The 26966-nt window shown below is 42.4% G+C and overlaps 1 long non-coding RNA gene across 1 annotated transcript, besides 2 other annotated features; it reads left to right on the forward strand.

Moving 5' to 3' along the window:
- Positions 1 to 5801: 5801 nt before the first annotated feature.
- Positions 5802 to 14703, forward strand: LOC124901043 (uncharacterized). Its single transcript, XR_007058901.1, has 2 exons — positions 5802 to 5839; positions 11657 to 14703. It is a non-coding gene; the product is annotated as an uncharacterized LOC124901043 (long non-coding RNA).
- Positions 7289 to 7790: an enhancer, noted in NCBI's record as "H3K4me1 hESC enhancer chr5:111858695-111859196 (GRCh37/hg19 assembly coordinates)". NCBI's record gives its function as "activates a minimal SCP1, AML or CMV promoter by ChIP-STARR-seq in naive H9 embryonic stem cells {active_cell/tissue: H9 hESC(naive)}" and the evidence as "EXISTENCE:reporter gene assay evidence [ECO:0000049][PMID:30033119]".
- Positions 7356 to 7475: an enhancer, noted in NCBI's record as "active region_22909". NCBI's record gives its function as "activates an Ori minimal core promoter by ATAC-STARR-seq in GM12878 lymphoblastoid cells {active_cell/tissue: GM12878}" and the evidence as "EXISTENCE:reporter gene assay evidence [ECO:0000049][PMID:35858748]".
- Positions 14704 to 26966: the final 12263 nt, after the last annotated feature.

Raw genomic sequence — 26966 nt, forward strand, 5'->3', positions numbered from 1 at the left:
CTGCAATCTCATCCAGGTCACTGTAAATGCTGTTAACTCATTCCTTTCTGTGGCTGTGTAGTATTTTATTACATATATATATACACACACACACATGTCAATCACAGTTTCTTTATCCACTCATTCTTTGATGGGCATTTGGGTTGGTTCCACGATTTTGCAATTGTGAATTGTAAATTCACAATTTACAGCAGAGCTTGCAGTGAGCAAAGATCGCGCCACTGCACTCCAGCCTGGGTGACAGAGCGAGACTCTGTCTCAAAAAAAAAAAAAAAAAAAAGAATGATGAAGTAGACTTTGGGGACTTGTGAGGAAGAGTGGGAGGGGGGTGAGGGATAGAAGACTACAAATATGGTGCAGTTGTAAATATGTGTGTGCAAGTATCCTTTTCAAATAATGACTTCTTTTCCTCTGGGTAGATACCCAGTAGTGGGATTGCCGGATGAAATGGTAGTTCTACTTTTAGCTCTTTAAGGAATCTCCATAATGTTTTCCCTAGCAGCTGTACTAGCTTACATTCCCACCAGCAGTGTAGAAGTGTTCCCTGTTTACCACATCCATGCCAGCATCTACAGTTTTTTAATTTTTTTATCATGGCCTTTCTTGCAGGAGTGAAGTGGTATCACACTGTGGTTTTGATTTGCATTTCCCTGATCATTAGTGATGTTGAGCATTTCTTCATATGTTTGTTGGCCATTTCTACATCTTCTTTTGAGAATTATCTATTCATGTCCTTAACCCACTTTTTAATGGGATTGTTTGTTTTTTCTTTTATATGTATATATATTTATTATACTATAAGTTCAAGGGTACATGTGCACAATGTGCAGGTTTGGTACATGTGTATACATGTGCCATGTTGGTGTGCTGCACCCACTAACTCATCTTTTACATTAGGTATATCACCTAATGCTATCCCTCCCCCATCCCCCCACCCCACAAGAGGCCCCATTGTGTGACGTTACCCTTCCTATGTCCAAGTGTTCTCATTGTTCAATTCCCACCTGTGAGTGAGAACATGCAGTGTTTGGTTTTTTGTCCTTGTGATAGTTTGCTGAGAATGATGGTTTCCAGCTTCATCCATGTCCCTACAAAGGACATGAACTCATCATTTTTTATGGCTGCATAGTATTCCATGGTGTATATGTGCCACATTTTCTTAATCCAGTCTATCATTGGGGTTGGTTTCAAGTCTTTGCTATTGTGAATAGTGCCGCAATAAACATATGTGTGCGTGTGTCTTTATAGCAGCATGATTTATAATCCTTTGGGTATATACCCAGTAATGGGATGGCTGGGTCAAATGGTATTTCTAGTTCTAGATCCCTGAGGAATCACCACACTGACTTCCACAATGGTTGAACTAGTTTACAGTCCCACCAACAGTGTAAAAGTGTTCCTATTTCTCCACATCCTCTCCAGCACCTGTAGTTTCCTGACTTTTTAATGATCACCATTCTAACTGGTGTGACATGGTATCTCATTGTGGTTTTGATTTGCATTTGTCTGATGGCCAGTGATGATTAGCATTTTTTCATGTGTCTGTTGGCTGCATAAATGTCTTCTTTTGAGAAGTGTCTATTCATATCCTTCACCCACTTTGTGATGGGGTTTTTTGTTTTTTTCTTGTAAATTTGTTTGTGTTCTTTGTAGATTCTGGATATTAGCCCTTTGTCAGATGAGTAGATTGCAAAAATGTTCTCCCATTCTGTGGGTTGCCTGTTCACTCTGATGGTAGTTTCTTTTGCTGTGCAGAAGCTCTTTAGTTTAATTAGATCCCATTTGTCTATTTTGGCTTTTGTTGCCACTGCTTTTGGTGTTTTAGACATGAAGTTCTTGCCCATGCCTATGTCCTGAATAGTATTGCCTAGGTTTTCTTCTAGAGTTTTTATGGTTTTAGGTCTAACATTTAAGTCTTTAATCCATCTCGAATTAATTTTTATATAAGGTATAAGAAAGGGATCAGTTTCAGCTTTGTACATATGGCTAGCCAGTTTTCCCAGCACCATTTATTAAATAGGGAATCCTTTCCCCATTTCTTGTTTTTGTCAGGTTTGTCAAAGATCAGATGGTTGTAGATGTGTGGTATTATTTTTGAGGGCTCTGTTCTGTTCTATTGATCTATATCTCTGTTTTGGTAGCAGTACCATGCTGTTTTGGTTACTGTAGCCTTGTAGTATAGTTTGAAGTCAGGTAGCATGATGCCTCCAGCTTTGTTCTTTTGGCTTAGGATTGTCTTGGCAATGTGGGCTCTTTTTTGGTTCCGTATGAACTTTAAAGTAGTTTTTTCCAATTCTGTGAAGAAAGTCATTGGTAGCTTGATGGAGATGGCATTTAATCTGTAAATTACCTTGGGCAGTATGGCCATTTTCATGATATTGATTCTTCCTATCCATGAGCATGGAATGTTCTTCCATTTGTGTCCTGTTTCATTTCATTAAGCCGTGGTTTGTAGTTCTCCTTGAAAAGGTCCTTCCCATCCCTTGTAAATTGGATTCCTATGTATTCTATTCTCTTTGAAGCAATTGTGAATGGGAGTTCACTCATGATTTGGCTCTCTGTTTGTCTGTTATTGGTGTATAAGAATGCTTGCGATTTTTGCACATTGATTTTGTATCCTGAGACTTTGTTGAAGTTGCTTATCAGCTTAAGGAGATTTTGGGCTGAGATGATGGGGTTTCCTAGGTATACAATCATGTCATCTGCAAACAGGGACAATTTGACTTCCTCTTTTCCTAATTGAATACCCTTTATTTCTTTCTCCTGCCTGAGTTTTTCTTACTGATTTGTTTGAGTTAGTTGTAGATTCTGGATATTTGTCCTTTGTCAGATGTATAGATTGTGAAGATTTTCTCCCACTCTGTGGGTTGTCTGTTTACTCTGCTGACTGTTCTTTTTGCCATGCAAAAGCTCTTTAGTTTAATTAGGCCCCAGCTATTTATCTTTGTATTTATTGCATTTGCTCTTGGGTTCTTGGTCATGAAATCCTTGCCTAAGCCAATGTCGAGAAGGATTTTTTCAATGTTATCATCTAGAATTTTTATAGCTTCAGGTCTTAGGTTTAAGTCCTTAATCCATCTTGAATTGATTTTTGTATAAGGTGAGAGATGAGGATCCAGTTTCATTCTCCTACATGTGACTACCCAATTATCCCAGCACCATTTGTTGAAAAGGGTGTCCTTTCCCCACTTAATGTTTTTGTTTGCTTTGTCGAAGATCAGTTGGCTATAAGTATTTAGGTTTATTTCTGGATTCTCTATTCTGTTCCATTGGTCTATGTGCCTATTTCTGTACAAGTTCCATGCTGTTCTGGTGACTATGGCCTTATAGCATAGTTTGAAATCAGGTAGTGTAATGTCTCCAGATTTGTTCTTTTTGCTTAGTCTTGCTTTGGCTATGCAGGCTCTTTTTTTGGTTCCATATTAATTTTAGAATTGTTTTTTCTAATTCTGTGAAGAATGATGGTGGTATTTTGATGGGGATTACATTAAATGTGTAGATTACTTTTGGCAGTATGGCCATTTTCACAATATTGATTCTACCCATGCATGAGCATGGGATGTGTTTCCATTTGTTCGTGTTATCTATGATTTCTTTCAGCAGTGTTTTTTAGTTTCCTTGTAGAGGTCTTTCAACTCCTTGGTTGGGTATATTCCTAAGTTGTTTTTTTTTGTTTTTTGTTTTTGCCGCTATTGTAAAAGGCGTTGAATTCTGTCACTGTTGGTGTATAGAAGAGCTACTGATTCGTGTACATTAATCTTGTATCTGGAAACTTTGCTGAATTCTTTTGTCAGTTCTAGGAGGAGTCCTTAGAGTTTTCAAGGTAAACAATTATATCGTCAGCAAACAGTGACAGTTTGACTTCCTCTTTACCAATTTGGATGTCCTTTATTTCTTTCTCTTGTCTGATTGCTCTGGCTAGAACTTCCAGTACTATGTTGAAGAGGAGTGGCTACAGTGGGCATCCTTGTCTTGCTCTCAGAGGGAATACTTTCAACTTTTCCCCATTCAGTGTTATGTTGGTTGTGGGTTTGCCATAGATGGCTTTTATTACATTAAAGTATGTCCCTTATATGCCAATTTTGCTGAGGGTTTTAATGATAAAGGGATGCTGGATTTTGTCAAGTGCTTTTCCTGCATCTATTGAAATGATGTGATTTTTGTTTTTAATTCTGCTTATGTGGTGTATCACATTTATTGACTTGTGTATGTCAAACCATCCCTGCATCTCTGTTATGAAATCCAGTTGATCATGGTGAATTATCTTTTTGGTACGCTGTTGTATTCAGTTAGCAAGTATTTTGTTAAGGATTTTAGCATCTTTGTTCATCAAGGATATCGGTCTGTAGTTTTCTTTTTTGGTTATAGTTTTCTGTTTTGGTTATGTCCTTTCCTGGTTTTGGTATTATGGTGATGATAGCTTCATAGAATGAATTAGGGAGGGTTCTTTCTTCTCTATCTTGTAAGATAGGGTCAAAAGGATTAGTACTAATTCTTTGAATGTCTGGTAGAATTCTGCTGTGAATCTGTCTGGTCCTGGACTTTTTTCTGTTGGTAATTTTTAAATTACCATTTCTATCCCACTGCTTGTCATTGGTCTGTTTAGGGTATCTAATTCTTCCTGATTTAACCTGGGAGGGTTGTATTTTTCCAGGAATTTATACATCTCTTCTAGGTTTTCAAGTTTATGTGTGTAAAGTTGTTCATGGTAGCCTTGAATGATCTTCTGTATTTCAGTGGTGTCAGTTGTAATATCTCCTGTTTCATTTCTTAGTGAGGTTATTTGGATTTTCTCTCTTCTTTTCTTGGTTAATCTTGCCAGTGGTCTATCAATCTGATTTATCTTTTTGAAGAACCAGCTTTTTGTTTCATTTATCTTTTGTATTTTTTGTTTGTTTGTTTCAGTTTCATTTAGTGTTGCTCTCATCTTTGTTATTTCCCTTTTTCTGCTGGGTTTGGGTTTGGTTTGTTCTTGTTTCTCTACTTCCTTGAGGTGTGACCTTAGAGTGTCAGTTTTATGCTCTTTCAGTCTTTTGTTGTAAGCATTTAGGGCTATGAAATTCCCTCTTAGCATCACCTTTGCTGTATTTCAGATGTTTTGATAGGTTGTGTCATTATTGTCATTCAGTTAGAAGAATTTTTTAATTTCCATCTTGATTTCGTTTTTCACTCAGTGCTCATTCAGAAGCAAGTCATTTAATTTCCATGTATTTGCACAGTTTTGAAGGTCCCTTTTGAGGTTGATTTCCAGTTTTATTCCACTGTGGTCTGAGAGAGTGCCTGATATACTTTCAATTTTCTTAAAATTTTTGAGGCTCCTTTTATGTCCTATCATATCATCTATCTTGGAGAAAGTTCCATGTGCTGTTGAATAGAATGTATATTCTGCAGTTGTTAGATGAAATGTTCTGTATATATTTGTTAAGTCCATTTATTCCAAGGTATAGTTTAAAACCATTTTTTCTTTGTTGACTTTCTGTCTCGATGACCTGTCTAGTGCTGTCAGTGGAGTATTGAAGTGCCCCACTATTATTGTGTTGCTGTCTATATCATTTCCTAGGTCTATTAGTAATTGTTTTATAAATTTTGGAGCTCCAGTGTTAGGTGCATTTACGTTTAGAATTGTGATATTTTTCTGTTGGACAAGCCCTTTTATCACTATATAATGTCCTTCTTTGTCTTTAACTGCTGTTGCTTTAAGGTTTGTTTTGCCTGATATAAGAATAGCTACCCCTGCTTGCTGTTGGTGTCCATTTGCATGAAATGCCTTTTTCCACTACTTTAAGTTTATGTGAGACCTTATGTGCTAGAGAGGTCTCCTGAAGGCAGCAGATGGTTGGTAAGTTCTTATCCATTCTGTAGTTCTGTATCTTTTAAGTGGAGCATTTAGGCCATTTACATTCAATGTTTGTATCGAAATGTGAGGTACCATTGCATTCATCGTGGCCTCTGTTGCCTGTGTACTTTGGGGTTTTTTTTCTTTACTTTTGCTTCTTAACATATTTTTGTTTTATAGGTCCTGTGAGATTTATGCTTTAAAGATGTTCTGTTTGGATGTGTTTCCAGGATTTGTTTCAAGATTTAGAGCTCCTTTTAGCAGTTCTTGTAGTGGTGGCTTGGTAATGGCAAATTCTCTCAGCATTTGTTTGTCTGAAAAAGACTGTATCTTTCTTTCATATATGATGCTTAGTTTCACTGGATACAAAGTTCTTGGCTGATAATTGTTTTGTTCGAGAAGGCTGAAGATAGGGCCCCAATCCCTTCTAGCCTGTAGGGTTTATGCTGAGAAATCTGCTGTTAATCTGATAGGTGCTTCCATCTCACAGCTGTTAGGATTCTTTCCTTTGTCTTAACATTGGATAACCTGAGGACACTGTGTCTAGGCAAAGATCTTTTTGCAATGAATTTCCTGGGTGTTCTTTGTGCTTCTCACGTTTGGATATCTAGGTCTCTAGCAAAGCCAGGGAAGTCTTCCTCAATTATTCCCCCAAATATGTTTTCCAAGCTTTTAGAATTCTCTTCTTCCTCAGGAACACCAATTATTCTTAGGTTTGGTCATTTAACATAATCCCAGACTTCTTGGAGGCTTTGTTCATATTTTCTTATTCTTTTTTCTTTGTCATTATTGTATTGGGTTAATTTGAAGACCTTGTCTTCGTGCTCTGAACTTCTTACTTCTACTTGTTCAATTCTATTGCTGAGACTTTCCAGAGCATTTCACATCTCTAAAAGTGTGTCCACAGTTTCCTGAATTTTTTATTGCTTTTTCTTTAAGCTATCTGTTTCCTTGAATATTTCTCCCTTCACTTCTTGTATCACATTTTGGATTTCCTTGTACTGGGCTTTGCATTTCTCTGGTCCCTCCCTAATTAGCTTAATAACTAACCTCCTGAATTCTTTTTCAGGTAAATCAGGGATTTCTTCTTGGCTTGGATCCATTGCTGGTGGACTAGTGTGATTTTGGGGGGCTGTTGAAGAGCCTTGTTTTGTCATATTACCAGGGTTGGTTTTCTGCTTCCTTCTCATTTGAGTAGACTCTGTCAGAGGGAAGGTCTAGAGCTATAGGCTGTTGTTCAGATTCTTTTATCCCATAGGATATTCCCTTGATGTAGTACTCTTCATCTTTTCCTATGGGTGTGGCTTCCTGTGAGCCAAACCACAATGATTGCTGTCTCTCTTCTGGGTCTAGCCACCCATTGAGTCTACCTGGCTCTGGGCTCATACTGGGGATTGTCTGCACAGAGTCCTGTGATGTGAACTGTCTATGAGTCTCTCAGCTGTCGATGCTAGTGGCTGTTCAGGTGGAGGTGGCTGGGGGTGGGGGGTGCAATGGACTCTGTGAGGGTTCTTAGCCTTGGTGGTTTAATGTTCTATTTTTGTGCTGGTTGACCTCCTGCCAGGAGGTGGTGCTTTCCAGAGAGCATCAGCTGTGGTATTATGGGGAGGAACTGGTGGTGGGTGGGGCCTTAGAACTCCCAAGATTATATGCCCTTTGTCTTCCACTACCAGGGTGGGTAGGGAAGGATCATCAGGTGGGGTGGGGCTAGGTGTGTCTGAGCTCAGACTCTCCTCAGGCGGGTCTTGCTACAGCTGCTGTGGGGGATGGGGGTGAGATTCTCAGGTCACTGGAGTTGTGTGCCTAGGAGGATTATGGCTGCCTCTGCTGAGCCATGCAGGTTGTCAGGGAAGTGCAGGAAAGCCAGCAGTCACAGGCCTCACCCAGCTCCCACACAAACTGAAGGGTCAATCTCACTCCCATCGTTCCCCCCATAACAGCCCCCAGACCGTTTCCAGGCAGAGAGTGATAGGGGCTTGAAAACCAGCCCCGGGCTATCCACCTCCCAGCTGTGAAAATAGGGGCTTGGTTCTTCCCCTGCCAGTGGAGTCCGCACACTGGATTTGCGCCCGCCCCTGAGTTCTGGCCAGGAGGCTTCTCACCCCGTTCAAATTGTTACAGAGTTCAACCAGAGATTTCATTCTCTCTGTGGAGTTTTACCCCCTGCTCCTCTGGCCACCCTTCCAATGGATCCCTGTGGTGTCATGCAGGAATGGCCTGCTAGGGGACCCAGCAAGCTCCCAGGGCCTTTCTGCTGCTTTCTCTACCCCTGTATTTCTCTCTACTCTCCAAATTGACTTAGCTCCAGGTAAAGTCAGAAACTTCTCCCACAAACAGACCTTCAGCTTCTCTAGTGATAAGGGAGGAGACCACCCCTCATATTGTCTTATGCCCAATTACTGCCTCCAAAGAAAGAAGAAGTAAAAACTAAAAGGCAGAAGTGAAATCCACAAGCAGACAGCCCGGTGCAACACCCTGGGCCTGGTAGTTAAAGATCAACCCCTGACCTAATCAGTTATTTGCATAAAAAGGCACTGTGAAGATGTGTGTCCTGTTCAGTTCCTTTCTAATTACCGGTGTATGCAGCCCCCAGTCACATACCCCCTGCTTACTCAATTGATCACGACCCTCTCACGTGGACCCCCTTAGAGTTCTGAGCCCTTAAAAGGGACAGGAATTGCTCACTTGGGGAGCTCTGTTGTTGGAGATGTGAGTCTTGCCAAAGCTCCTGGCCAAATAAAGCCCTTCCTTCTTTAACTCGGTGTCTGAGGGGCTATGTCTGCAGCTTGTCCTGCTACATTTCTTGGTTCCCTGACCAGGAAGCAATGTGATTAATGGATGGTTGAGGCAGCCCCTTAGGCGGCTTAGGCCTGCCCTGTGGAGCATCCCTGCAGGGGACTCCAGCCAGCTTGAGTGATGCAGATCCTGAGAGCGCTTCCAGGTAGGCAATTCCCCCAGTGGAACACCTCACCAGAGCAGTGTGTGGCAGGCCCCCATGGAGGATCAACACAGTGACTAACAATGGTAAGAAACTGGCACTTGGAGTCCGGACATCTGAAACTTGGTAAGACTAGTCTTTGGAACTTGCCTACTCCATTTGAGTGGAAGCATGGCCTGATCACCCATGGCATGCCCATACCGGCATTTTGTTTTTTTGTTTTTGACTTGACTTGGATTGCTTGATCCTTTGGTTTTGGTCTTGACCTGGCTTGGATTTCTCAATACTCTGATTTTGGTTCTGATTCTGGTTTGGTGTAAACTGAAAAAGTCTATGTGTGCCCTTTTTACCCATTCTTTGTTTTGTGGTGTGCGTGTGGTGTGAGCGTGGTGTTTTGTCTCGAGGAAACATGGGTCAGGCACAAAGTAAGTCCAACCCACTAGGAACTATGTTGAAAATTTTCAAAAAGGGATTTAAGGGATACTATGGAATTACTATGACACCAGGAAAACTTAGGACTTTGTGTGAGATAGACTGGCCAGCATTAGAGGTGGGTTGGCCATCAGAAGGAAGCCTGCACAGGTCCCTTGTCTCGAAGGTATGGCACAGGGTAACCTGTAAGCCAGGGCACCCAGATCAGTTGCCATATATAGATTCTTGGTTACAGCTAGATTTGAACCCCCCACAGTGGTTAAGAGGACAGGCAGCAACAGTACTAGTAGCAAAGGGACAGTTAGTTAAGGAAGGTTCTCGCTCCACCCGCTGAGGTAAGTCGGTACCAGAAGTCCTGTCCAACCCAACACCAGAAGAATCGTGGCAGGAATTGGTAACAGCAGTACCCGCCCTCCCTTATTGAGAGGGGCTCCCCACTCCTGAGCCCATAGCATGTACACCTCCACCAGATAACCACACTCCTAGACCACCCAGAGTAGACAAAAGAGGAAGTGAAGCCACAGGAGAAAATCCTCCATTGGCAGCTCCATTATGGCCCAAGACTGGAATCCAAATGCCCCTGAGAGAGCAGTGATATACTGGGGTAGATGAGGATGGACACATGGTGGAAAAGCGTGCCTTTGTGTATCAACCTTTCTTCTCTGCTGACCTCATCAATTGGAAAAATAATACACCATCTTATACCGAAAACCCTTAAGCTTTAATTGACTTGCTCCAAACTATTATACAGACTCATAATACTACTTTGGCTGATTGCCACCAGCTGCTCATGTACCTCTTTAATACAGATGAAAGGCAAAGGGTGCTCTGGGTGGCAACTAAGTGGCTAGAGAGGCGCGTCCCAGCTGATTACCAAAACCTCCAAGAATATATAAGAATTCAGCTGCCAGGAGCAGACCCCCACTGGGACCCGAACGAGGGACCAGACATGGAGAGGCTAAGACGGTACTGTGAGGGATTAATAGAAGGTCTAAAGAAAGGGGCTCAAAAGGCTACAAATGTAAATAAGGTTTCTAAGGTCATCCAAGGAAAAGAGGAGAGTCCAGCACAATTCTATGAAAGACTGTGTGAGGCTTACCGTATGTACACTCCCTTTGATCCAGATAGCCCTGAAAATCAGTGCACGATTTACATGGCCTTAGTTAGTCAAAGTGCAGAAGATATCAGGAGAAAATTGCAGAAACAGGTTGGGTTTGCAGGTATGAATACCTCACAGTTACTGGAAATAGCCAATCAAGTGTTTGTAAATAGAGATGCAATAAGCCACAGAGAAAGCCGTAAGGAAGGCGAATGCCAGGCCAGGTGAAATGCCAACTTACTGGCTGTGGCCATTAGGGGAATTCCCTCGAAAGGAGTGGGAAAGGGGGGTTCTGGGAAGAATATCCAGTCTAATCACCCATGCTTGCAATGTAACCAATGCACCTATTGTAAGGAAACAGGATATTGGAAAGATAAGTGTACCCAACTGAAGGAAAAGCAAGGTAATTTGGAACAAAAGACCTCAGATAAAGATGAGGGAACTCTGTTCAATCTGGCTGAAGGGCTATTGGACTGAAGGGGACCAGGCTTAAGTGCCCCCGAGGATCCCATGGTCAGGATTACAATTGGGGGCAAGGACATTAAGTTTTTGGTCGATACTGGTGCTGAACATTCAGTAGTGACCACCCCATTTGCCCCCTTATCCAAGAAAACCATTGATATAACCAGAGCAACAGGAGTTTCCACTAAGCAGGCTTTCTATCTACCATGGACCTGCTCGGTGGGTGGACAAGAAATAGTTCACCAGTTCTTGTACATGCCTGACTGTCCCTTGCCCTTGCTGGGAAGAGACTTGCTTAGCAAGCTGACAGCCACCATCTCCTTTACAAAACAGAGCTCTTTACAGCAAAAGTTACCCAGAACAGGAGTTATCATGGCCCTTACAGTCCCCCAGGAAGAAGAATGGAGACTTTTTTTTAACCGAGCCAGGCCAAGGGATAAAACCAGCTCTAGCTAAGCAATGGCCTTGAATATGGGCAGAGGATAATCCTCCAGGACTGGTGGTCAACCAAGCCCCTGTACTCATAGAAGTTAAGCCTGGGGCCCAACCAATTAGACAAAAGCAGTATCCAGTTCCCAGGGAAGCTCTTGAAGGAATCCAGGCTCAACTCAGGCACTTGAAAGCCTATGGAATTATAGTTCCTTGCCAGTCTCCATGGAACACTCCCCTCCTGCCTGTCCCTAAGCCAGGGACCAAGGACTACTGACCAGTACAAGACTTGCATTTGGTCAACCAAGCTACAGTGACTCTGCACCCAACAGTTCCTAACCCTTACACATTGTTAGGGCTGCTGCTGGCTGAGGATAGCTGCTTTACCTGTCTAGACTTAAAAGATGCCATCTTTAGCATCAGAATATCTCCTGAGAGCCAGAAGCTGTTTGCCTTTCAGTGGGAAGATCCGGAGTCAGGTGTCACTACTCAGTACACTTGGACCCAGCTTACCCAAGGGTTTGAGAACTCCCCTACTATCTTTGGGGAGGCCCTGGCTCGAGACCTGCAAAAGTTTCCTGCTAAAGACCTAGGCTGCATCTTGCTCCTGTACATGGATGACCTTCTGCTGGGACACTCCACGGCAGTCAGGTGCGCAAAAGGGATGGATGCCCTGCTTCAGCACCTGGAGGACTGTGGGTATAAGGTGTCCAAGAAGAAAGCTCAGATCTGCAGACAGCAGGTACGCTACCTGGGATTCACTATTCAGAAAGGGGAGTGCAGCCTGGGGTCATAAAGAAAGCAGGTCACCTGCAGCCTACCAGAACCTAAAACCAGGAGGCAAGTAAGGGAATTCCTAGGAGCTGTAGGGTTTTGCAGATTAGGGATTTCAAACTTTGCAATGCTAGCAAAACCTTTGTACAGGGTTACAAAGTGGGGCGATTGGGAGCGCTTTGAATGGGAACCTCTACAACAGCAAGCCTTTTGTAAGTTAAAGGAAAAATTTATGTCGGCCCCAGCCCTAGGACTACCAGATTTGACAAAGCCCTTTACACTCTATGTGTCAGAAAGAGAAAAAACGGCAGTTGGAGTTTTAATCCAGACTGTGGGGCCCTGGCCTACACCAGTGGCCTATCTCTCAAAACAACTAGATGGGGTTTCCAAAGGCTGGCCACCATGTCTAAGGGCCCTGGCAGCAACAGCCCTGTTAGCACAAGAAGCAGATAAACTAACCCTTGTGCAAAACCTGAATATAAAGGCCCCCCATGCTGTGGTAACTTTGATGAATACCAAAGGACATCATTGGCTACCAAATGCTAGTTTAATCAAGTACCAAAGCTTGCTATGTGAAAATCCCCGCATAACCACTGAAGTCTGTAACACCCTAAATCCCGCCACCTGCTCCCAGTATCAGAGAGCCTGGTCAAGCGTAACTGTGTAGAGGTGTTGGACTCAGTTTATTCTAGCAGACCTGACTTTTGGGACCAGCCATGGGCATCAGTAGACTGGGAGTTATACGTGGATGGGAGTAGCTTCATCAACCCATAAGGAGAAAGATGTGCAGGATATGCAGTGGTAACTTTGGATGCTGCCATTGAAGCCAAACTGTTGCCACAGGGCACTTCAGCCCAGAAGCCTGAGCTCATTGCTTTAACTCGGGCTCTAGAACTCAGTGAAGGTAAGACTAAACATCTACACTGACTCTCGATATGCTTTTCTAACCCTCCAAGTGCATGGAGCATTATATAAGGAAAAGGTCCTGTTAAACTCTGGGGGAAAGGACATAAAATATCAACAAGTAATTCTACAATTACTAGAGGCAGTGTGGAAACCTCAGAAGGCAGCAGTCATGCACTGCAGGGGACACCAGCAAGCCTCCACCTCAGTGGCCTTAGGAAACTCTTGAGCTGATTCAGAAGCTCAAAATGCAGCATCTACCCCTTACTGGGCATCAGTAGCAGCCCCCTTACTCCCTCAAACACCTGACCTGGTACCTACCTATTCTAAGGAAGAAAAAGACTTCTTCCATGCAGAAGGGGGGCAAGTAATAAAAGGAGGATGGATCAGACTGCCAGATGGGAGAGTAGCTATGGCACAATTGCTGGGAGCCACAATCATATTGGCCATGCATGAAACCACTCATCTAGGTCAAGAGTCACATGAAAAATTGTTAAGCTGCTACTTCTACATCTCATACTTGCCAGCCCTTGCCAAAGCTGTAGCACAGCAGTGCATTATTTGCCAACAGCACAATGCGAGGTAAGGCCCCACTGTTCCACCCGGCATACAAGCTTATGGAGCGGCTCCTTTTGAGGATTTTGAGGTGGATTTCACAGAAATGCCGAAATGTGGAGGTAACAAGTATTTGCTGGTTCTTGTGTGTACTTACTCTGAGTGGGTGGAGGCGTATCCAACACAAACTGAAAAGGCCTATGAGGTAACCCATGTGTTTCTCTGAGATTTTATTCCTAGGTTTGGACTGCCTTTATGAATTGGCTCAGATAATGGGCGGGCATTTGTGGCTGACTTGGTACAGAAGACAGCAAAGGCATTAGGAATCACTTGGAAGCTATGTGCCACCTACTGACCTCAGAGTTCTGGAAAAGATGGAGTGAATGAATCGGACTATCAAAAATAGTTTAGGGAAAGTATGTCAGGAAATAGGATTAAAGCAGATACAGTCTCTTCCTATGATATTGTTTAAAATTAGATGCACTCCTTCTAAGAAAACAGGACACTCCCCTTAGGAAATACCGTATCATAGGCCTCCTCCCATACTACTGGGGCTTTCAGGCACTCCCCAAGTGTCAGGTGAAATTGAATTACAGCGACAGCTACAGGCTTTAGGAAAAATTACACAAACAATCTCAACTTGGGTAAATGAGAGGTATCCCATCAGCTTACTCTCCCCAGTTCACCCGTTCTCTCCAGGTGATCGCATGTGGATCAAGGACTGGAACATAGCCCCTTTGTGGCCATGGTGGAAAGGACCTCAGACCATCATCCTGACCACCCCCAAGGCTGTAAAGGTAGAAGGAATCCCATCCTGGGTCCACCACAGCCATGTGAATCCTGCAGCCGCTGAAACCTGGGAGGCAAAACAGAGCCTGGACAACCCCTGCAAAGTGACTCTGAGGAGGATGACAAGCCCTGCTCCAGTCACACCTGGAAGCTGACTGGTCTACGCACAGCCAAAACATGAGGAGGATCATTGTGGGACTCACTTTCCTTATAATTTGGACTTGTATAGTAAAAACTTCCACTGATTTTCCTCACATGTAGGACTGCTCTCAGTGTATACATCAGGTTACCGAGGTAGCACAACAAGTTACAACAATCTTTCTGTTCTATAGTTACTATGAATGCCCAGGAAATTTAAAAGGAATATGTTTATATAACGACACTCAGTATAAGGTATGTAGCCCAGGAAATGACTGGCCAGATGTGTGTTATGACCCCTTTGAGCCTCCCATGTCCACAGTTTTTGAAATAAAATTAAGGACTGAAGACTGGTGGGGACTCATAAATGATACAAGTAAAGTATTAGCCAGAACAGAAGAAAAAGGGGTGCCCAGATGCACAATCTTGAAATTTGATACCTGTGGTGTCATTAATAGCAATAAGTTAGGAAGGGGATATAGCTCTTTTAGTTGGGAAAAAGGCTATGTGACCAAAAATAAGTACATTTGTCATGAATTAGGACTGTGTGGAAATGAATGTGGATACTGGTCTTGTGTCATTTGGGCCACTTGGATAAAAAATGAAAAGGATCCAGTCCACCTTCAGAAAGGAAAAAATGGCCCTTCCTGTACTAAGGGACAAGGTAACACCTTAGAGCTAGTAATAACCAATCCCCTTGATCCACGCTGGAGAAAAGGGGAGCATGTGACCTTAGGAATCAATGGGGCCAGACTGGATCCTCGAGTAAATTTCTTAGTTTGAGGAGAAGTTTACAAACACTCTCCTGAGCCAGTGTTTCAAACTTTCTATGATGAACTAAATGTGCCAGTACCAGAAATTCCAGGAAAAACAAGAAATTTGTTTTTGCAATTAGCCAAGCATGTAGCCCAGTCTCTCAATGTCACTTCATGTTATGTCTGTGGAGGAACTGCAGTGGGAGATCAATGGCCATGGGAAGCCTGAAAATTAGTACATACAGACCCAGCTCCTGATGAATTCCTGGCTCAAAAGAATCACTCTAATAATTTCTGAGTCCTAAAAGCCTCAATTATTGGACAATATTGCATAGCTAGAGAAGGAAAAGAATTCACTTACCCCGTAGAATGACTTAGTTGTCTGGAACAGAAACTGTATAATGGCACCACAAAGACAGTCACTTGGTGGAGTTCAAATCACACAGAGAGGAATCCACTTAGTAAATTCCCAAAGTTGCAAACCGTGTGGACCCACCCGGAGTCCCACCGGGACTGGACAGCCCCCACTGGATTATACTGGATATGTGGGCATAGAGCTTATGCCAAATTATCCGAACAGTGGGCGGGTAGTTGTGTTATTGTCACTATTAAACCATCTTTCTTTCTACTGCCCATAAAGACAGGTGAACTCCTGGGCTTCCCTGTCTATGCTTCCAGTGAAAAGAGAAGCAAAGCTATAGGAAATTGGAAAGATGATGAATGGTCCCCTGAGGGAATCATACAATATTATGGGCCTGCTACTTGGGCACAAGACAGCTCATGGGGACGCCGGACCCCCATTTACATGATGAACCAAATCATACGGTTACAAGCTGTCTTAGAAATAACCACTGATACAACCAGCAGAGCCTTGACTATTCTGGCCTGGCAAGAAACTCAGATGAGAAATGCTATCTATCAAAGTAGATTGGCTCTCGACTACTTGCTAGCAGTTGAAGGAGGGGTCTGTGGGAAATTTAACCTTACTAATTGCTGTCTACACATAGATGATCAAGGGCGAGTGGTTGAAGACATAGTTAGAGATATGACAAAACTGGCACACGTGTCCATGCAAGTGTGGCATGGATTTGATCCTGAAGCCATGTTTGGAAAATGGCTCCCAGTGCTAGGAGGATTTAAAACTCTTATAATAGGAGTTATAATAGTAATAAAAACCTGCTTACTGCTCCCTTGTTTGCTACCTGTACTTCTTCAAATGATAAAAAAGCTTCATCGCTACCTTAGCTCTCCAAAATACTCCAGCACAAGTGTACTATATGAATCACCATCGATCTGTCTTGCAAGAAGACATGGGTAGTGAGGATGAAAGTGAGAACTCCCACTATTGAGTGAGATTCTCAAATGGGGGGAATAAGGGAGGAGACCACCCCTTATATTGTCTTATGCCCAATTTCTGCCTCCAAAGAAAGAAGAAGTAAAAACTAAAAGGCAGAAATGAAATCTACAAACAGACAACCCGGTGCCACACCCTGGGCCTGGTAGTTAAAGATCGACCCCTGACCTAATCAGTTATTTGCATAAAAAAGGCACTGTGAAGATCCGTGTCCTGTTCAGTTTCTTTCTAATTACCGATGTATGCAGCCCCCAGTCATGTACCCCTGCTTGCTCAATTGATCACGACCCTCTCAAGCGGACACCCTTAGAGTTGTGAGCCCTTAAAAGGGACAGGAATTGCTCACTTGGGGAGCTCGGTTGTTGGAGACGTGAGTCTTGCTAAAGCTCTTGCCTAAATAAAGCCCTTCCTTCTTTAACTCAGTGTCTGAGGGGTTTTGACTGCAGCTTGTCCTGCTACAGTGTGGGTGTGTGTTTGGGAGAGGAAGGTCTCCCTTTCTCACTTCCACAGTTGGGGCACTCACAGTTTTGGGAGGGTCTCCTGGATCCTCTAGGAGCAGTCCACTTCCTTCGGAGGGTCTGTGGGTCTTCTTGGGATTGCTGGTTTGTTCTTGCAGTCTATCTGGAGCTAAAATTCACAATGTGAGCTGCCCTCCACTGCTTTGTCCAGAGCTGCAATCTAGTCCTGCCCCCATCCTGTCGGCCATGATCTCACACTACTTAAGATTTTAAATTAGAACTTCTGACATCAAAACACAAAAGAGACAACATTTCAAACTTGATCCACTGAAAACAGGGTAAGTTTAATTCTAAATCCAAATCCAACATTCTAAAACAAGATGTTATCCAAAAATGAAAATTAGTTGCATGACCATTTTTAAAATAACTTTACATATTGAAATAGCTTAAGATTCAGAAGAAGTGACAAAAATAGTACAGAGGTTTTCACACACCCTTCACCCACATTCACCCAACATTAATATCTTGCATAACCATGATGCATGTCAAAACCAGAGTTGCACAGCTCTTAAATCCGTCATCCACGTTGAGCATATAAAAGCATCTGGCTACTGGAAATGAAAATAAGGGATTTTTGAAGAGTGATATGTCTTCTGAAAGCTCTGCATGTGCTGTGGGTTCCTCTACCACCTCATTCGCAAAAGAATAGGATGTGAATTGCTTGTTTTTTCATCTCAACTTAGAAGAAGAAGCATCAAAGGGAATTCTCAGAGAGCTTAATGTGTATTTCCTGAAGTCTGGGGGTGGGGACACACTGCACTTGAGTGTGACTCCCCTCTGAGCACTCAAGGGTGAGAGACAGGCTGGACAGCAGCTGACTGGTAAGCCAAGGGAAAGATGGCTGGGTTGACATAGGCCTGCATACACAGAATTTGTCAGAGCAAGAGATGCATGGATTTTACATAACAGAAATGTGAACCACACACAAGAAAGCTGGCATGAGGTCATCTTATATCCTGTCCAATAGGGCTACCTAGGAGGGCAAAGTCCTCAGTAGAGAGAAGCTGATGGCATAGTCTGACTCATAGGGATTGGAGAGGGAATAAGCAACACACCGAATGAGAGGGCACCATTCACATGAACAGAGTTGCAGAGAGATCCTTGAAGATGGTGTGGAAGTGGAGAGAGGACAAGGAGTGAAATCTCCAAAGAATACATGATGGCATCTATGAAATCATTACCTTTAAACTCACGCCAGTGCCAGAGAATATTTGAAAATTGTTGTGGGTTTTTTTTAAAAAAAAAAAAAAAAAACAATCTCAAACTTACAGAAGCATGCATGTACAATACTAAAAACTTTTTCCAGAATTATTTGAAAGCAAGTTGCCAATATCATGCCTCACTGTGTGGAGTGACATCTTCCTCACCCTGTCCATGCTCTGATACCCTCCACAAGACCACCCTCCTCCTTGGGTTCCAACTCTGCACCAGGCTGCCACCCCATGTGTGACAAGGCATGAACTTTCTTCACCTTGCACAGGCTCTGGCTTCCTTAGGCAGCCCATACTCCCATGCAAATACCCACCTCAACTCATTTGACTCCAGTGTCTGGCCCTGGACAGCCTTCTTGGTGCAGATGCCCTCCTCAGCCTGCTTGGGGTCTGACATGCCACACCAATGCACCCCTCTGAGGCAAGGCCCTCCTCACCCAACTTGGGCTCTGACACCCCATTCTGGGCACCATAGCCAACTGTAATAGTTAATATTGAATGGACTGAAGGAGGCAAAGTGTTGTTTCTGGGTGTGTCTGTGAGGGTGCTGCCAAAGGAGATTAACATTTGAGTCAGTGGACTGGGAGAGGCAGACCCACCCTCAATCTGGGTGGGCATCAGCTAATCAGCTCAGGACCGAATTGTTCAGAATGGGAAAAGACAAGAACTTGGGAAAAGAGCTGCAAAGCCACCTTGTAGTAGCAGCAGTCAAGTAAAACCTCTCATGGTTATTTTAATTCTTCTCTTTCTTTGCTTTCAGATCTGGAAGGTTAAGAAAGCACAATTATCAGGCTGGGGGAGGAAGGGCATAGGAAGGGAAAAGGAACCAACTACACCCCTCCTCCAGTTGAAGGCTTCCTGGTAGGGGAGGGAAGATTTATATTTGAATCAGGTTCAGAGTTTTGCCTTATATGGGATGAGAAATTTTGACTTCCGAATTGAGACTGTGCTTGGTGACTAAGAGTGGCAATCGTTTTATTAGTTAAGTGTGTTAAGGAAAGCCATAGGACTGCTGATGTTTTTTATCCAAGAGCCAAGGGAAAACTTTCCCCATTGAATAAATATAAAAGGAAAGTGAGGGACAAATTATACCACCTTATCATTCCGCTCCATGAGGCCTGCTTGCTCCGTGCCTTCATTACATACATTTGCAGTGGCTGCCAATCTAGAACAAACAGGGGTTTTCTATAATTTCCAAGAGGCCCCAACTGTCTGAAAATCTACAGAGGAAACAAAAGTCCTTATGGTAACCCTTTTTTGGTTGTTCATTTCTTTAAAGATTGACAGGGTTTTGTTTGTTTTGTTTTTTGTTTTGTTTTGTTTTGTTTATCATTCTGTAATTAGGGAGAGTGTTCCAACAACAAAAATATATTATTTCTAGGTAACTGAGGTATAACTAAGAAGACCTCAAGGGCAAAATTCTGCTTTCTCTTTAAATCTCTCGCAAGCACATCTCTAATTTTATTTCTGCCTTTGTTGCTGTCTCATCTTAACTTCATCTTAGTAAAATTGTCATCAAAATCTTCTTGGGAGAGAAGAAGACTCACAGTCCGTGCCCATGGTGGTTTTTATCTGCCTGAACACAAGCCAAACATCTTGGGGCCAGTATCCTCAGAGGTCTTCCTTTATCACTGAGCTCTCCCTTGTACTCACCTCAGCCTCACTGCTGGGTGGGTCTATCTCCTGCCATCTATGCACCACCCAGGTCCTCCACTCTGCTGAAACTTCTTTTGAGCTATTAGGTTTGGATCATTCCTGGGACTTTTGTAATCTCTCACATTTTAGACGTGGTCCACTGAAAATAGAGTAAGTTTAATTCCAAATCCAACACCTTCATCTCTTTTGAGGGAGGCAAAAATTGATCACCTCTTTCCTACGGTAATGTTGTTGATCTTGTTTTTAGTTTATCTCTGTAATTCCCACTTTGTCTAGCACAGTGCTTTGAACATAATCAGAACTCAGTAAATATCTACTGAATGGATGAATTCATTCCATGAAGAAAGAACATGAAAGGATGATTAATGGAGGCAATTAGCCAGATAATTAAAAAGTATTTTTCCTCTACTATTCAGACATTTCAACAAGAGGATTTTTTGTTAACTACACAGATAATTACTTTAATATACCACATCACTCTTTATACATGTGTGGGACCCAATATTTGTATACACGTATGGCCTGACAAAAAATAGGTAACAGTTGTTGGATAAAGAATTATATTTGCAGAAATAGAATGGAAAAGATACTGTTAACAGTATTATTTCTGGGAAAAGAGGAAAGGGAATTGTTGGATCAACAAGGTCACTGGTCTTGTAGTTTTTACTGTATACACTTCTATATTTATACAGTGTTTTAATTTTTGTGAGCACGTATTTTCAATATTAATTTCTTAAAATTGTATTAACTAAGCAGAAAACTAAGCAGAGATATTGCGGACCTGAACTTTTGAGCTTTTAGCTTCATGGGTTCGTATTACGGGATACAATGCCCATGGGGTAGCAAATGCCTCCAGGGAACAGGCAAGTAAAATACATAAGCAAAGTGGACTGCAATATGGACTGCAGCAAGTGGGGGCAAGGCAAGCCCTGTGCACAGTGGCCAGGTGCTGCCAAGTCCAGCCAATTACTGTTACACAGAAACATGGGACCAATGTTGTCAGATCACCCAGTTTTCAAAAGAAGTTCAAAATCTAGAATATTTTTAGAGAAGTTTCCTGATTTTTAAATGAAAGCAATTGATTGAAAAGGTTTGAGGTTTAAGATGCAGGCAAAACAAAATGTCTGTGGCCTAAATTCAACCTGTTTGCACACTCTGACTTAGGTAATAGCCTAGGGTAGATTGTTCGTTTGTTTGTTTTTAAACAGATGTAGAGGTTTCATGAAATTTTCTCATCCTTTGGCTATTTTTCTCTTATGCAGATTGTCAGTTAATATTCCAGAGTCTACAAAGGGCTGCAGGGATTTCCATGATGACTGAGCAGCAGGGCCCAGAAACCATCAATCCTCTGTAGGTTTATAAACTGATTCCCAGTTGGCACAGCATTCTGGGGTGGTCATAAAGAATAAGGTGTAGGGAGTAGTAGCATGCTTCCTGAGGGCTTCGAGGGCCAATAACTGAAATTAGGTTTATAGAAAATAATCACAATAATGGCAGGGAGTGGCCTTCAAATCCTAGAGCTATGGCCAATTGGAGTATGAAACTCTAAAGGAGCCATGAAGGCCACAAGGTCAGTAATGTGACATTTCAGTAGAAACAGATGTCAAGACAAATAAAAAGCATTTCTTCTCACATTAAAAACATTGAGATGGCAGATATATATGTAAGGAGATAAAGTCCATCCCAAATTCAGGCTTCATAATGAACATTGAGCCTTAAGGAAAGAATAATCCAGAACAGCCCAATGGAGTCTTATGTTCCATTTAAATCATCTGTAACACTATTCAGTAAAGACCATGAAGACACTGCACAGAAGCAGGTGAATGAATTCTGTCAAGCCACTTGCTGAATTACAGTATCATGCCAAGTACTTTCTCCTTACATATAATAATATCTACCATGCCACTTACCAGTGCTCACTACTGAAAATTTAGCTGAAAGCCAAGAAATAAACATTAACACACAAAAGCCCTCAAGGCATCTAAAACCAATCTCACAAGGCCAGGCAATAAGGATCACAAGGCTGATGAATGGGGCACCTTTTCATACAGCACATATTAACAATACTTAACACACAAAGCTAAAATAATGGGCTCTCTGGTTCTTCCATTAAAGTAATTTGGAAGCGGCAAGTAAGGACAATACCTGGCACATAGTAGGCACTCCACAAATTTATTGAGAAACAAATTAGAAACAAAACAGCTAGAATTATCAGCCAACTACCTGACAGGGAGAGAGGACATGTCCTGAAAAGTGGACACAGGCCTAAAGTAATCTATTATTCTGAAGCTATTAGGGGTACAAATAAAGCTCCTGAGAGCAGCACTCTGCACTGCACAACACAAAGCTCCTCTTACACCCTGGTTAAGAGGCTCAGCTTTGTAGCCAGGATCCAATTGCTACCTTACAGCTGGGTGAACTTGGTTAAGTACCTTAATCTCACTTAACATTGGTTTCCTCATCTGTAAACTCTGCCTCATAGGGTTGTGAGAATTCAATTAGTTAATACATGCAAAAATCATAGAATAGTGCAGGTACATAAAAAACATTCAATAAAGACTAGCTATGGACAAAAATACCATCATCATGAAAAAGACGACCTTATGTTCAGGATGATCTAATTAATAAGGCAGGAAAGTAAATAACAAAGGTATGGAAGATCTTCATCCAAAATTATTAAAACAAAATGTTTTGGTTTTGTAGAGAGCTGTTTTTAATTATCTGGAAAATTCATGTGAAATACTCCATTGAAAAGCAAATCTGCAGAGCTGAGGACAGTGTTCTGTGAAACACTGGAATTAGAGTGCCTAGACACGAGTTTCAGCTCTGCCAGTTGCCAGCTGTGTAGCACTGGGCAAGACACTTAAGCATGCTTCAGTTTTCTCATCCATAAAATTAAGATCATAGAAAAGTTGTTATCAGAACTATATTATGACTTCCATGGGCCCTGGGTACATTTGCCTTTATGAGTTGCTTCCTCCCTAAAATAATATTAAAAGTTGTTTGTACCACTGACTGAACTGCTGTAAAGACAAATATAATCTAGGCTGGTGATATGGTTTGATTGTCTCCCCAAAATCTGATGTTGAAATGTAATCTCAAAGATGGCTGAATAGGAGCAGCTCCGGTCTGCAGCTCCCAGTGAGACCAACATAGAAGGTGAGTGATTTCTGCAATTCCAACTGAGGTACCAAGCTCATCTCACTGGGACTGGTTAGACAGTGGGTGCAGCCCACAGAGGGTGAACAGAAGCAGGGTGGGGCATTGCCTCACCCAGAAAGTGCAAGGGGTTGGGGAACTGCCTCCCCTAGCCAAGGGAAGCTTTGAGGGACTGTGCCATGAGGGACAGCGCTGTCTGGCCCAGACACTAGGCTTTTCCCATGGTTTTCACAACCTGCAGGCCAGGAGATTCCCTCGGGTGCCTACACCACCAGGACACTGGGTTTCAAGTACAAAACTGGGTGGCCGTTTGGGCAGACACTGTGCTATCAGCAGGAGTTTTTTCTTTTTCATACCCCAGTGGTGCCTGGAATGCCAGCAAGGCAAAACTGTTCACTCCTCTGGAAAGGGGGCTGAAGCCAGGGAGCCAAGTGGTCTAGCTCAGTGGATCCCACCCCCATGAAGCCCAGCAGGCTACCATCACTGGCTTGAAATTCTCGCTGCCAGCATAGCAGTCTGAAGTCGACCTGGGATGCTCAAGCTTGGTGGGGGGAGGGGCATCCACCATTACTGAGGCTTGAGTAGCAGTTTTCCCCTCACAGTGTAAACAAAGCCACTGGGAAGTTCAAACTGGGCAGAGCCCACTGAAGCACAGCAAAGCTGCTGTAGCCAGACTGCCTCTCTAGATTCCTTCTCTCTGGGCAGCACATCTCTGAAACAAAGGCAGCAACCCCAGTCAGGGGATTACAGATAAAACTCTCATCTCCCTGGGACAGAGCACCTGGGGGAAAGGGGGCTGTGGGCGCAGCTTCGGCAGACTTAAACGTTCTTGCCTGCTGGCTCTGAAGAGAGCAGCAGATCTCCCAGCACAGTGCTCAAGCTCTGCTAAGGGACAGCCTTCCTCCTCAAGGGGTTCCCTGACTCCCCGTGCCGCCTGACTGAGACATTTCTCTACAGGGGTCGACAGACACCTCATACAGGAGAGCTCTGGCTGGCATCTGGCAGGTGCCCTTCTGGGACAAAGCTTCCAGAGGAAGGAGAAGGCAGCAATCTTTGCTGTTCTGCAGCCTTCACTGGTGATACCCAGGGACATAGAATCTGAAGTAGACCTCCAGCAAACTCCAGCAGACCTGCAGAAGAGGGGGCCTGACTGTTAGAAGGAAACCTAACAAACAGAAAAAAATAACATCAACATCAACAGAAAGGACATCCACATAAATACCCTACGCAAAGGTCATCATCATCAAAGATCAAAGGTAGATAAATCCATGAAGATGGGGAAAAACAAGTGCAAAAATGCTGAAAATTCCAAAAACCAGAATGCCTCTTCTCCTACAAAGGATCACAACCCCTCACCAGCAAGGGAACAAAATGGATGGAGAATGAGTTTGACGAACTGACAGAAGGAGCCTTCAGAAAGTAGGTGATAACAAATTCCTCTGAGCTAAAGAAGCACGTTCTAACCCAGTGCAAGGAAGCTAAGAACATTCATAAAATGTCACAGGAACTGCTAACCACAGTAACCCGGTATGAGAAGAACATAAATAACCTGATGGAGCTGAGAAACACAGCAAAAGAACTTCATGAAGCATACATAAGTATCAATAGCCGAATTGATCAAGGCGAAGAAAGGGTATCAGAGATTGAAGATCAACTTAATGAAATAAAGTGTGAAGACAAGATTAGAGAAAAAGAATGAAAATGAATGAACAAAGCCTCCAAGAAATATGGGATGATGTGAAAAGACCAAATCTATGTTTGATTGGTGTACCTGAAAGTGATGGGGAGAATGGAATCAAGTTGGAAAACACACTTCAGGATATTATCCAGGAGAACTTCCCCAACCTATCAAGACAGGCCAACATTCAAATTCAGGAAATACAGAGAATATCACTAAGATACTCCTCGAGAAGAGCAAGCCCAAGACACATAATTGTCAGATTCACCAAGGTTGAAATAAAGGAAAAAATGTTAAGGGCTGCCAGAGAGAAAAGTCAGGTTACCTACAAAGGGAAGTGTATCAGACAAACAGCAGATCTCTCTGCAGAAACCCTGTAAGCCAGAAGAGAGTGAGGGCCAATATTCAACATTCTTAAGGAAAAGAATTTTCAACCCAGAATTTCATATACAGCCAAACTAAGCTTCAAAAGTGAAGGAGAAATAAAATCCTTTAGGGACAAACAAATGCTGAGGGATTTTGTCATCACCAGGCCTGCCTTATAAGAGCTCCTGAAGGAAGCACTAAATATGGAAAGGAAAAACCAGTACCAGTCACTGCAAAAACATAGCAAAATGTAAAGACCATCGACACTATGAGGAAACTGCATCAACTAATGTACAAAATAACCAGCTAGCATCATAATGACAGGATCAAATTCACACATAACAATATTAATTTTAAATGTAAATGTCCAAATGCCCTAATTAAAAAACACAGACTGGCAAATTGGATAAAGAGTCAAGACCCATTGGTGCGCTGTATTCAGGAGACCCATCTCATGTGCAAAAACACACATAGGTTCAACATAAAGGGATGGAGGAATATTTACAAAGCAAATGGAAAGCAAAAATAAGCAGGGGTTTCAATCCTAGTCTCTGATAAAACAAACTTTAAAGCAACAATGATCAAAAGAGACAAAGAAGGCCATTACATAATGGTAAAGGGATCAATTCAACGAGAAGAGCTAAATATTCTAAATATATATGCACCCAATATAGAAGAACCCAGATTCATAAAGCAAGTCCTTAGAGACCTACAAAGAGACTTAGAGACTCCCACACAATAATAGTGGAAGACTTTAATACCCCACTGTCAATATTAGACAGATCAATGAGACAGAAAATTAACAAGGATATTCAGGACTTGAACTCAGCTCTGGACGAAGTGGGCTTAATAGACATCTACAGAACTCTCCATCACAAATCAACAGAATATACATTCTTCTCACCACCACATAGCACTTATTCTAAAATGGACCACATAATTGGAAGTAAAACACTCCTCAGCAAATGCAAAACAACAGAAATCATAAGAAACAGTCTCTCAGACCACAGTGGAATCAAATTAAAACTCACGATTAAGAAACTCACTCAAAACTGCACAACCTCATGGAACCTGAACAACAACGTGCTCCTGAATGACTACTGGGTAAATAACGAAATTAAGGCAGAAATAATTAAGTTCTTTGAAACCAATGAGAACAAAGACACATCATACCAGAATCTCTGGGACACAGCTAAAGCAGTGTTTAGAGGGAAATTTATAGAACTAAATGCCCACAAGAGAAAGCAGGAAAGGTCTAAAATTGACACCCTAACATCACAATTAAAGGAACTAGAAAGCAGAGCAAACAAATTCAAAAGGTAACAGAAGACAAGAAATAACTAAGATCAGAGCAGAACTCAAGGAGATAGAGACACAAAAACCCCTTCAAAAAAAATCAATGAATCCAGGAGCTGGTTTTTTGAAAAGATTAACAAAATAGCTAGACCACTGGCCAGACTAATAAAGAAGAAAAGAGAGAAGAGTCAAATAGATACAACAAAAAAATGATAAAGGGTATATCACCACTGATCCCACAGAAATAAAAACTACCATCAGAGAATTCTATAAACACTTCTATGCAAATAAACTAGAAAATCTAGAAGAAATGAATAAATTCCTGGACAAATACACCCTCCTGACACTAAAGCAGGAAGAAGTCAAATCCCTGCATAGACCAATAACAAGTTACGAAATTGAGGCAGTAATTAATAACCTACCAACCAGAAAAAGACCAGGACCAGATGGATTCACAGCCAAATTCTACCAGAGGTACAAAGAGGAACTGGTACCATTCCTTCTGAAACTATTCCAAACAATAGAAAAACAGGGACTCCTCCCTAACTCGTTTTATAAGGCCCACTTCATCCTGATAACAAAACCTGGCAGAGACACAACACAAAAAGAAAATTTCAG

The sequence above is a fragment of the Homo sapiens genome, chromosome 5 (assembly GCF_000001405.40).
Source record: "Homo sapiens chromosome 5, GRCh38.p14 Primary Assembly".
In the NCBI taxonomy this organism is placed as follows: Eukaryota; Metazoa; Chordata; class Mammalia; order Primates; family Hominidae; genus Homo; species Homo sapiens.